Source organism: Homo sapiens, chromosome 12 (genome assembly GCF_000001405.40).
Source record: "Homo sapiens chromosome 12, GRCh38.p14 Primary Assembly".
Taxonomy (NCBI): domain Eukaryota; kingdom Metazoa; phylum Chordata; class Mammalia; order Primates; family Hominidae; genus Homo; species Homo sapiens.
The window spans coordinates 18,255,529-18,269,041 of record NC_000012.12 but is presented as its reverse complement, the minus strand read 5'-3'; the positions used below and the strand labels follow the sequence as shown (position 1 = coordinate 18,269,041).

Here is a 13,513-nt window from a genome sequence, read left to right as displayed (position 1 = left end):
CTACCTGGGAGGCTGAGGCATGAGAATTGTTTGACCCAGGAGGTGGAGGTTGGAGCACTGATATGCACCACTGCACTCCAGCCTGAGTGACAGAGTGAGACTCGTTTAAAAAAAAAAAGAAAGAAATCTAAGTTTTGACTGAATCTTTGACAAAGTTATTGTTATGGTGAATGATATATTTGATAAGAATATGATTTAGAGAAAGATCTAGAAATTTTTTGGAAGGCAAATGTAGGTAAAACCAATGGTAAGTTGAATACACTGGTAATTTTAATGCTTCTGAGAACACAGCACACACAATGATAAATACCACATAAAATTATTTTTTAAAATATGGCTAATACGCACTGTTTGAATAGTCACATTTTATTTTCACTATTTAAAACAAGTATCTGAATTATGTCATATGATTCACTGCATAGGAGGCACAACAGTGGGAATTCATCTAAAAATCAATGTAGTCTAAGAGTTAAATGAATTAGTATGGGAAGGCTGAATGAAAGAACAGATAGGTAGAAAAATTCAGAAAACTTTGTAAAAACTTGAAAAAGGTTACAAATTATGAAATTAAAAGCTGGTCAAATAGACTGTGGTTTCGGGAAATAATATCCTTAATGATATCTCTAATCTTAGAATAATAATAATAATAATAACAATAAAAATCAAGGTTCTTAGCATCAATACAGTTGACTTGCTGTAGAATGGTATCTGGCTGGTAACATAACTCAAAAAATTAAGCAAATATTTTATGAATTGAATAAGCAAACAAAAAAATTCATTTAGTATAGCATTACCAGCCACAAAGACTCACATCCATTCAGTCAACTAAATTTTTATCATATGTAAGTCAAAACAGATTAAACAGAAATGGAAGGAAAAAATCCACACGTACTGGCTGGCCCTTGCTTTGTATCTGGAGGAGAATAAATATCCCAGCCTGAAAAAATGGTAAAGAAATGGTTCATTTTCCTGCTACTGCTGAATTGGGAGATATAGGGTCGGATCAATTCCCTCCACCGCCCTAAAAAGGTTGATCTGTTGCACAGCAACACCTTTCAGTAGCAACGAGGGCCACATGGCCACTTAGCTTTCTACATGCGTTCTAAGACTAAAATTTGCATTAATGCAAAATGTCGCATCTATGGTGACTGTGCATTTGTTTTGCCTTATGTAGGAACGGGGGATGAATGTTTGGGATACAAAGAATACCATGAGAAAGTACAAAAACAGTCCACTTCTGGCAAAAGAAGAACTATATATTGGCTAGAATTACCTAGATACGTATACCTTCTCAAAATAGTCAATTGGACATGAAAGCAATATAGATGAAGTCCAGAATTTAGGGAAATTAAGTGACTGCTAGTGACCAGAAATCAGATGAAGTCTGTTCATATTTACCATCCCTTTAGTTGAAAATCTGAGAAACATGCTCTAACAGGTCAATAATGAGAGGAACCAGGCAAGATAAGCTGCAGACATTATTTATGAGTCATCAACGGAGAGAATTCAAAGGACGAGTAATTGGGAAAAATGTGTTAATATAGATGTGCAAATATTCTGCAAGAAATAAAGTGAATGCTTATCAAGACATAAAAGAAGATCTTACTTCTGAAAAATATATGCTATGTATAACGAAGTAATTATTATAAAAACAGTAGTTATATGTGATCTATAAAATTAAGAAATCATGTGTTCTATTAAATAATCTATAAAATTAAAAAGTAGCAAAACAAAATGAAAAAAAGAAGAAATTGGGTAAGAGAGAGATGCCAATAAAATGGAGCTTAATGAGATACTGAGATGTGAAGAAACTGAAAATTCAGTCACATATTTAAAATATTCCTTAAAGCAGAATTGATACATCAGAAAACTAAATTTTGAATTAAAAATTGAGAAATACTATGAATACAGAATAAGAGGAACAAGTGAGAGAAAGTATAAGATGTGATACTACAATTGTAACATTCATAGAAAGGAGAGAACTATCACTGTATTATGGAAATCCTAAAAATAAATCAGAAAAAGTAGAAACAACCAACATTGAAGATGGCAAAAAAAGAAAACCCTGAATATGCATATTACATCTGCATATGTATATGGTACATATATACATAACCAGAAAATATATGTGTATTGTGATATTTTAAAAATGAAGCATTTACCCAACATGAAAAAAATGAAGAAAAAGAAGAGAATGAGGAGGAGGAGGAAGAAGGGAGGGAGGGAGAGAGGACGAGAGGAGGAAGAAAAAGGAGGAGAAGAAAGAAAAATCTATCTGGACATACAGTTTACTTGTAAAGACAAACTGCCTTAAGATAATGGAACTATGTCTACATAGTTCTAAAGTAAATATGTTCTATACCAAACATTCAGTTTGTCTTTTGTATGTGAGAGCAGCTAAAACATATTTGAACATATGTAAGTGCTCACAAACCTTTGTGCACTTCTAATGAGTAACATGCATCCGGCCACAAAATTTTAATCAAAATAAGAACTCAATAATAGGGAACTAATAGTAACTCTTTAAAAACCAGTTAACATTGACTAGGTCTAAATAATGATTGCAAATATATTTTAATAATTTCAAAATTTACTCCGTATTAATGAGCAAGGTGGAGTCTTAGATTATATTTCAACTAAAACTGAAAGGCATGTTAAGTGTTCTGTCTTACAAGAGGAAAGGGGATAAAATATGCTGTTTTGTTTCTATCAATGCTTTTTTAAAAGTTCATATATATTTGTTTGTATATATAGAGTTATTAAGTATTATAGAACTATTAGTTGGAGAAAAATACCATCCGTATTTTCCAAAACACTAGAGGAATCAAAATGTGATAACATTTACATTATATTCAGCAGGAATATAGGAAATTAAAAGTATGTTTTAAGAATAGCAAACAGAATGGGCCCTGTAGGATCACTGACATCTAATGATGATAAATATAAGCAGTTAATAGGATTAAGAACATTATGCAAATATAAATTTTCTATTGCGTAGTGTTTTTTTTTTTTTTTTTTTTTTTTTTTTAGATGAAGTCTCGCTCTTGTTCCCCAGGCTGGAGTGCAATGGCACGATCTCGGCTCACTGCAACCTCTGCCTCCCGGGTTCAAGCGATTCTTCTGCCTCAGCCTCCTGAGTAGCTGGGATTACAGGCGCCTGCCACCATGCCTGCCTAATTTTTATATTTTTAGTAGAGATGAGGTTTCATCATGTTGGCCAGGCTGGTCTCAAACTCCTGACCTCAGGTGATCTGCCCACCTCAGCCTCCCAAAGTGCTGGGATTACAGGCTTGAGCCACCACGCCCAGCCTATTGCATAGTTTTTGTAACAGAAACACATAAAAAAATTAAAGCAAAGTTAAAAGTATTACCAAATATATTACTCAAACATACACACCTACACAGACACACACACAGAGACATGCAAAATGAAGCAAGAGAGGCAATATTAGTAACAGAAAACTGTAGGCTAAAAGCATCAAGACCATTTTATTGAAATTTTTACATAAGTTATAATAGATATAGGCATTTATGAATCAGGTAAAAGTGTGTGTTTTAAGATGAATTAATGGAGGCTTCTGGAATTTTATAACCAGCTCAATTTATTAACTAATATTAACTTTACATTTATACTATATATATTTAGCTTTTCCATCTGCTAAAGATTGAATCCTTTTGTTTATCAATAAATCATACAAAAACATTTGTTTTGCATTTAATTTTGTATTTATTCATGATTCCTTAAATGATGAAGCATAAATGAACATACCTAAAATGTGAAAAATAATTTTCTCACATCAGAAACCAAGTATCAAGGACATATTTGAGAAGGGGATTTAACCAGAGCCCAAGTGGCAGAAGTACAGATTAAAGAAAAATTTGCCACTAATTATTCTGGAGAAGGTTTTTCTCCTTGGAGTTTGAATAAATAGCCACGCACATGTATACACAAAAATATAGAAACACACACAACCATGAAATAATCAAGCTGATGCTTATAAAATTATTTCAGTACTATGAGAAGAGAATGTTATCATGAAGACTCTAAGAAAGAGAATTCTCAAAATCATTGAGGAAAAGGCTTGCTGAGTGAGCAAATGTTCAGATGCCCCATGCAGGCTTCTACAGTGGGTTATTAGTCTGGTAAGACAGAGGAGAAAAGAGTGGTGATGCTGATCTCAATCTACAGAAGACACTATGCACTGTGAGCCAGGTAGATGGTTTTTCTCCCCACGCCCAGAGAGAGTTTTCTCAAAAGGTTGAGTGTTGATGAGAAAGTATTCAGAAAAATAGATCAGAATTCAGCCTGTCTGCTCACACAGCTGATTTTCTTCTTTTGTTCTCACATACAATATTCCAAAAAGTAGCTGTCTCCAGAAAAAAAAAAATTACTCCTATTCAAAGATGCACAATACCAAGAAAGTAATCATAATGGAACCTAAGCAAAAAATATCACAACAAAGGAGGAAGCCAACGTGATCTCAGCGGGAGGTGGAAATATGAAGAATATAAGCCAATACTCAACAAAACAGCATTTTGAAAAGCAGAACAAAGTAAAAATGTGTTCTCATAACCTGTTTATCTCTAGGACATTACCATTAATGGAAATTTTTAAAGAATGTGCTTAAGAGTAGAAGGAAAATTATCCCAGGGAAGGTCTGAAAAATACCAGAAGGGGAGGTGAGTGAACATGATAGTAAATACGTGGATAATTCTGGACTAACGTTGACTATATAAACAATAATAACAATTTCTAATCTGGAAAGCAAAATAAGTAAGATATAATGAAATACTAGACTATAATACTATGTAAGTTGGGGTTGAGCAATCCAACTTAAAAAACATTTTCTATTGAGAAAGTACAGATATAAATTTTGATTTTTGAAGAATACATGTTAAATTTTTAGATAATACATGTATATTCAGATAATAGAGGGTATATTTTCTACCGGTAGGAAGCAAAGAATGAAAACAACAACAAAAACAACAAACATCAATCAAGTTGGGAGAAGTTCCGTAAGTGAGAAGATGAGAAAAGGGTGGCACTGATTTCAATCAGCTGGAGACAAACAATTGCCTTGTCCTATCTTCAGCTGAAGCACAAATATAAATGTTCTCTAAGATGAAGAAATGAAAAGGTATATATCAGAAACACATAAATGTGAATTGTCTGGTTATGTCATATAAAATCTATAGATTGTTACATTTTATTAAGAAAAAAAGCTAAATGAGATTTGTTACAGATATACCAGAATTTAAAGGATAAGTATTGCTTAAAATTTAAAAGACGAAAAAGGTATCACAGGCAATTTGTAATAATATCGACAACAACAAAAAACTGATGTCATTACATTGAAAAGACAAAACGAACCTATTGGAAAAAGTAATTCAGGAGGTAAAGAATAACACTTTATAAGGTAAAGAGTCAATTCACCAGGTGCATATCACAGATTTATACTTAAAAATAATTCATTTGAAATTTAAATGGCAACAGTTTATACTGCTACAAGGAGAAACTGATATAGCCACATTTATAATGGAAGTAATAGTAATCTCACATCATTTGTAGAGTGATCAGTCAAAAATATACAATTAACAAGCTTAATTCAATGAACATATATAAGATACTGTATCCAGTATTGGAATTTATACCTTTATAAGGACAAGATGGCTTATGAGAAATGATCATATATTTGGCTAATTTTAATATAATTCAAAGTCAGTATTGTACAGACTGTTTTCTCTGTCCCCAATGTAGTCAAAATCAGTAAAAATAAGATAACTTACAGAACTCATGTTTTTAAACTTAAAAAACATTTTTAAATAACTTGCACAGTGAAAAACCACAATAAAATTAGAAAAACTTTGAGATAAAAAATAAGGTTGCCAAGAAAAATACATATTTTTGCATAAGAAATTCAAAGATACACATCACTCTTATTTTATAGCTGAAAAACTCTTGAAAATATTTCAGCCAACAGAAAAATAAATCATAATAATTTAAAATGCAAGAGTTTTGTCATAAAAGGTCTATTGCTAAGAACTGATAACAGTTAAAATGGATTTATGCCTAAACAATTTAATCATATTTTGCTATGATTATCTGTATAACATTTCATCAGATCATACATTTGGAAAATAGCAAGAATTTAGTTAGAAATACAATACAATGCTTTTCTAGATTGGAAATGATTACTTCATCACGTTTTCTTCCTAAGCTCTGAGAGAATTGTACCATGTTTTGCTTACTTGAAGAGGGCTTCCTCACGACCAAAATGATTCCAGCTCAGGCAGAAGAAAAAGTGAAATCATAGCCTTGGGGTTCACAATGGCATCACAGGATCTTGCTTATTTAATGAATCAGTGAAGACTCACCTACTATGAACCTTTTCTATAGGAGGTAGAAGTTGTCTTTTTTTTTTTTTTTGTCAGCTCACTCATGGTTAGCTATTTTCTTATGCTCACTATTTTCTTATGCTCAATTCACAAACTTGCTTTTTATCTGGTTCAGATGGCAGATAGACATGCGTGGAGAATAAATAACATGTCATGGAAAGAGCCCTTGAGTTGGAATAAGAAAACCTTGATTAAAATCCAAGCTCTTAATAACATTATTAATGACATGAGGGGTATGTGTTCTTTAACCTCGCTCTCTGAGTCTGTTTCCTAAGATGCAATAATTACATTAGCTAATGCATTTAAAAAGGAGATCACTATGTACAAGTTATATATTATGATTAGTTTGAAAGAATGGGGTATATCTTATCTCTAACTTTAATCCTAAGCTTCAGAAATAGAATTGTTCATCAGACAAGAACATAAGGGGGCAACTGGGACACACAATAGGTTCACATTGGCCTCAGTGAGCTACGAATAAAGAGGTAGGCAAACAGCAGAGACGGACCGCAGCACAGAGGGAGGAAATGGAAATAGAACAGAGCTTCTCCCTAGCAGGAGTTGCTTCTAGTTTGGATCCCATATGTTAAGAAATTCCACCTTCCATTTAACAAGAATTTCCTCTGGGAGCCATCATGGGGATGCCGTCTACAAGCTAGTGGCACGAGATTCAAGACACTAAAAGTGTACACTAAGAAAAATCTACCAGTAGACATGAATGAAATAATTAGCTCAAGGCTCTGATGAAATGGTATGTTATCAAATGCAATCTGTGGTGTCAGCTAGCTGGAGAGAGAGAGAAAGAAAGAGGCAGAGGGAGGGGGGAAAGAGAGAAAGAATAAGTTTATTCAGGAAAGATCTATCTTCTGGTTGTAGATTTTGGGGAATATTTACAAGCTGGATATCTCTGTTTCAAAATATGGCACAAACTCACTCTGATTTTAAATTCATCTACCATTTTTGTATCACAGTATAATTAAAGAGCTATTTTGCCTCAATAATATATTTGAGTCGAAATATCATGCTATGTAGTTAAGTATAGGAAGTTTATTTGTTTTAGTTTCTTACCTGACGCATATATCTTCCTGAAATGAAACACGATCTCATTTCTTTTCAAGAGTCAAATACGCTCACACAAGCTAAAACACTTCTATTTCAAGGGAACGTGATGCTTCCACTGGAAGCTTTTATTCCTGTTTGGCAGGTTGGGCGTGTTTGGAAATCTATTTTCCATCAAACCCTGAAGGGTTATATGGAAAAAAAAAGAAAAAAGGTTTGCATTGACATAATGAATAGAGGATTTAAGCCAAAAACCCAACCATAAATGAGCTTCTCTGTGCTAAACAGAATTCGGGCCAAAGATACTGATCAGCAATATACAAACGAAAATATATTTTTTAAAAATGTGTAAGGTGGGCATATTTCCCCTCAAATTACAGCTAAGGTTATTATGCATTTAAACGTGGAGGTGGTTGGATGTGGTGAAACCAGTGGTCTCAATTTGCAGGAGCAGAGGTGAGCCCTTGAAAAAGGTATTCTAGCCATTCTGTGAGTTTCACCTATCGAGGTATTTTCTTTATTTAATTAGAATTTAATAAGTTCATTTTTTTCTAATTTAGAAAGATATTAATTTTTAGTTTAGCCTTAGGATGCATAGTAAATTTCAATTTAAATATTTTTAATAACATCTGAAAAGGAACAGCAAAATAAAACAATATTTATAAGATTAGCAAGTAGATGTGGGTGGTTTATTGTTTTGGTATACTGCTCTTGAAATTGAACAATGTGTGGAGACTCTGAGACAACACAAGAAATTATATAATTAAATCCAGGTAAAATAGGATCTGCCAGAAGTAGGCCTGCTTTACTGGGAGAAAGTTTTAGGAAATAAAAATAAATTGGATTACTCTTGTTTCCAAAATATGTCGTAGGATCCTTTTGTTGTTGCTGTTTTTTTCTCTTCTTTTTTCTTCTTTTTAGATTTATAGTAGTTTTCTGTAAGAATGATTTCTTACATGGAAGGGTAGAGAAGAGAAAGTTGAGAATTATATCACTTTCAGGGCTACTCATGGAAAGATATTTATAGTATTGAAGGTTCACAATTGTACAACACCATCCCCTGACCCTTGTACCCCTTCTGTTCTAAAGCTACAAAGGTGTGAGAGGTCACAGAAAAATGGGAGCTTGACCTAGAAGTGGAGGGTGATGTCACACAGGAAAACAATCATACCTTTATATTTTAATAATAACCTGAGCTGCAATTCTTAGCTTTGGAACTCTGGGGAGATAGATGACTTTAAAAATAACTTTACATGTAGTGATTTTTTCCAAATACATTTATGCTAAACCCTTAAAAATCTCTTTAAATTAATTCCTAAAATGAGCCACTATTTAAGAAAAATAGTCCCTTCAAAAATTGAAACATTTTGGATCTACAAATCTCTTACCACACATTAAAGTAGGCTCATACATTTTTCAGGAGGACTTATGAGAGCTGGACTGGGTTGAAAAGGAACAATCTAATCTTGATAAAACTCAAAGATTAAGGTTAGAACAGTTTGATAGTCATTATTCATTAACAAGAAAGGGTACAAAAATGTACCTTGTACTTTGTTTCCTTTGAAAATATGTTCTTCAATAATTTATCTTTCCTTGCTTAACATGTACGCTTACCTATTTTAGTAGCACTTTTAATTAAAATAAAATCCAGAGAACAATTAAGCTTCTTCTAAAATTTACTTTTTTCATGGCTATGTCCTATGTCTAAAATTTAAACACACAAAGCCTTCTGTCTTACCTGGTAGTAGTCTACTCCGTTTTTTAGGCAAAGTATTTAAGACAGAATGATCAAGCTTCAACAATGAAATGCAAATTTTATTTAAAAATCAATGTTTACGTGCAAGTTTATTTGATTTCCTGTCTATTATGTTAACATTAATTAGGTTATTTTGTTTATGCATTTTATTGTAAGAGTCAAAATTTTAAGTTCCATGGTGAACAGCCTTCTAAAACTTTCTTGCTTGTTACATTAAGAAATCAATGTCAAATTATATATAACCTTCTATTTTTTTCTAAATAGGCTTATTTCCCCCCACTCTAAAGCAAATGTGATTTCTTTGTTCAAAATTCCTCAATTTTCAGAACACACACTGCAAGATGAGTTCTACAAGTGTCCTTACTCATCTGCCTGTAGTCTTGCTCGAAACCTGGGAAAGATTTTTCAACACTCGCTCTGCCAGTAGGTAGAACTTAGCAGAGTTGTCTTTAAAGTTTAATATAAAGAGTTGTGACCCAGACCCCGAAGCTGGCTACCTGCATATTTCATACATGCTCCACATTTTCCATCTCATTCTCTTTTTAATGTTATTTGTATATACCCATTTTAAAGCAGGATCTCACTTTTTAAGTCAAAAGTTCTGATAGAGTATCTACTGGGTACTTAGCAGCTACCTAGTACAGGTTATAATGTGGTGAAAAAGACCGACAAGATTTCTGCTATCATGAAGATTACAAGAGCAACTTCCCACCCTGTTGCCTAATAGAGTGACCCGAACCTAGTTACTACCTGGGTGAAAAACAAATGAAGGCAGATACAGGTAATAATGCAGCTACTTGAATATTTCTCTTTCAAATATAGGAAACTGCCAGAGAAAGGAAAATGTTTTGATCAAGTTATTTAGAAATTAAGTGCTAACTGCATTGCTGCTCTATTAAAAAGTAAATTGCTTATTCATTCACTTTAAGAGGGAAAAAATGAATCAATAGAATATGAAATTCTTTATAAAGATAGAGCTTTTAGACATTCCAAAAATACTATTTAATGTCTAGCATAAACAAAATATTTATATCGATTTTTCTAAGTCTTATACAACCTGAGCCTCAACATTTTGTACTAAACTTGAACCAATCATTTTAAGACGATATTCATTATCAAAGAATCAACATAGATGAGAGATTCATCTACTGCTATATAAGTAGAATGAGTACATATATATAATAGAATCCTCTCCCGCCCTTAAAAAAAAAAAAAAGGAAATCCTGACATTTGCGCCAACATGGATGATCCGGAGGGCATTATCTTGAGTAAAATAAGCTAGACATAGAAAAAGAAATACTACATAATCTTACTCATGTGTGAAATCTAAAAAAGTTAAATTAATAGGAGCAGAGAGTAAAATGGTGGTCACCAGAAGCTGTGGGAGGGAGACTGGGGAGATGTTGGTCAAAGGATACCAAAATTTCAGGTAGACAGGAGAACTAAGTTCAAGAGGTCCATTGTGCAACATAGTCATTATGGTTAAAGCAATGTATTGTATACTTGAAAATTTGTAAGACAGATTTTAAGTGTTTTCACTACAAAAAAAAAATGGTATGGGAAGTAATGTATATAGTAATTAGCTTTATTTAGCCACTCCACAATGTATATGTCAAAATATCATGTTGTACACCATAAATATATACAATATAAAAGAGTAGATTGAACAATCATCTGTCATTTTCATTATTAATTTGGAAAAAATAAGGCTTTAATAATATATGCTCTTCTGTGGTGCCCATTGTTCAGCAGGAGCAGAGGTGGATGTTTTGACCCTCTGCCAAGTGGACATGCCTTACTCTAGATTCTGAAAATCTAAAAATGACACTTCCCATATGCCTTTGCAGCCGAGAGTCAGGATGAGAGTTGGTTCTACCAAGAAGTTGTATTTGTACAGGTAAAAGGTACAAGCAAGGAGTATATTTCTTTATCTCTTTCTGTTTCTTTTCTTTCTTTCTTTTTCTATCTTCTTTCTTTCTTTCTCTTTCTTTTCCTTTCTCTTTCTTTCTCTTTCTCCTTCTTTCTTTCTTTTCTTTCTTTCTCTTTCTTTCTTTTTCTTCTTCTTTTTTTCCTCCCTCCTTCTTCCTTCCTTCCCTCCCTCCTTCCTTCCACCTTCCTGTCTCCTTTGTCTTCTTTCTTTTTTCTTCTTTCTTTCTCTCTTTCTTTCTTTCCTTCTTTCTTTTCTTTTCTTTTTTTCTTTCCCTCTCGTGTACTGGCAAGGAAGATCTTGTTTTTCAAAGCAATACTGCAGTATCTATTCTTCACTTCCCTTGGTGTTGAGAAGCAGCTGTGGCAAAAGTAGTGGTGATAGCTGATTCCCAGCTTTCTAATTCTGAGATTGCTTTTATAGTGGATTGTTCATCTGCAATAGTCCCAGTGGTGATCTCAGTCCCTGGGTGTGTCAGTTCTCCTGTGCTGTGTTCCAGCCTAGAGCCCACAACTGTGGCTCTTCCTATCATTATTGCAAAAAGTAGTTTATTCTCTGTGTTAAATGAATCTTTCCTGCTTTAAATATTTAGATTTGTTTCTGAATAACAGTATTGCATCAAACCGAGAATTGTCACCCCGTATCTTTTCTTAACCTGTTTCCACAATAGAGTTTCAACTGGTCACATGCCCATCCAACTTAAGACTTCCTTTTTCAACCTCCCTTTTGAGAGGTAGGACCATGTGTCTAAGCTCTAGACCATGGAATTTAAACAGAACATATTTGGTACTTAAGGCTTTGTCCTTAAAGATTAAAGCATGCAATATTCTGGAACCTTTCCCTCTTTCTGATAGTTGTGTCAGGCATGGCAAAAGCTGTTTCCCTGAATCCAGAGACAGAAGTGACATATTGAGAACGGAAGAGTTGTCCTGCCAACAACAAGTAACCTACCACTTGATATTTAGTGAGACATAAATTTTTATCTAGTATAAAATGCTGTGTTTTAGGGTCTCTTTCTATGTTTTAATGACATCTAATCTTAAATGAAACATGACTTGGTTACTAGAAGTGTACTCTAGCATAATAAAAAAAATGAAGCTTTGGTCTAAGGATTGAGAGTGGGAGAGAACACAGATATTGCAGGCTAGAAAGTTAGTAATTCTCATTACTTTATGATAAAGCATTTCATAAAACTGTCATTTGCAATCCTTAAAAAGGGAGATTACTTGCCAGAAGAACACGTAACCTCTGTGAACTGCTGAGGAAGATTCTTGTGCAAAGTTCTGTGACAATACGTACTCGGGCTAGAGGTGACTCTAAAAAAGGAGGGCCGGCAGTAAATAGGCCTCTGACTTTTTCAAGTGCCCACATTAAAACCTCTCAGTTAATTGAAGTTCTTTATAGTTTCGAAGGTTAGGCTGAGAGTGATGCTTTCCTGCCTAAACTAATATTTTCAGGTAGCTTCAAAGTAGACACCCATAAACCGAAGGAGAGCAGAATGTGCTAAGCAAAGAAACCAGTAAATAAAAGAAGATAGTCTGCGTGCATAGCAACACTGCCTGGGTTAGGTCTTTGGGTATGATAATTTGCCCATGGATCTGACTGGAAGCAACTAGATCAAAAGCAGACTAAGGTTTTCAGAGAATTGCATTGACCTGCAGAAGCCAATCTGTGTTTGACTTAAAGTATCTCCCATGCCCCACTACTGGTTTTGCAGCATATACATCACAAAATATGCGCAGCTCCAAAGAGAGAATATTTTCTAGTTCTTTCTTACAAAATAATTACAGGGTAATTAAATACTTCTGAGAATAAAATGGATACATATTTAGAATAGATAATTCATTTATTGAATACTTACATTACACCAAAACAATGTTTTGGTTACTATAGCAGTAATGGACAAATAATCTCATAGAGAAATGAAAATAGGAACCATAAGTAATAAGGGACAATAAATTCCTCCAAGATAACATAATTCTTCCTCGATAATCATGGAAATTATTTCACTGCCATAGCAGAAGAGGTCAAAAATCTTGTCCAGTGGTATTTGATCATTGCCTTGAAAAATGACAGCTGTGCTTTTCCTCTTCTTGTATACCTGGATATTTGGGTAATTGACTGCAAGTTGTTCCACAGTATTTTTTACCGTCTTCTTTCCTGATGATGGCTAACTAGCCAAAGGCCATCTTTTCAAGCCTTTCTTTCAACTAGATGTGGGCACCTTACTGGTTGCAGTCAGTGAAATATGGAGAGGAACGATGCCTGATTATTCTAGTTGTGTTCTTAAAAGAATTATCTGTGCGCTCTCCTGTCTGCTCCCTCGCCCTCAACACACACACCATCAACCAGTTGGGAGATAGTGAGGAAACCTT

At 33.8% G+C, this 13,513-nt stretch overlaps 1 protein-coding gene across 16 annotated transcripts in view; it reads right to left on the bottom strand.

Annotated features, from left to right (window-relative positions):
- PIK3C2G (phosphatidylinositol-4-phosphate 3-kinase catalytic subunit type 2 gamma) overlaps positions 1 to 13,513 on the bottom strand; it is a 483,857-nt gene that overhangs the window by 457,776 nt on the left and 12,568 nt on the right. For 9 of the 16 annotated variants that reach the window (XR_931307.3, XM_047429007.1, XM_011520697.3 and 6 more), the window contains exon 2: positions 7,465 to 7,636. The exons of 2 other annotated variants lie outside the window; for them this stretch is intronic. The gene's annotated coding sequence lies outside the window, so the exon portion shown is untranslated. Of the gene's footprint in view, positions 1 to 6,249; positions 7,637 to 13,513 lie in introns of those variants that run through there. 5 more of the 16 variants (NM_001288772.2, NM_004570.6, NM_001288774.2 and 2 more) reach the window with 2 other exon arrangements.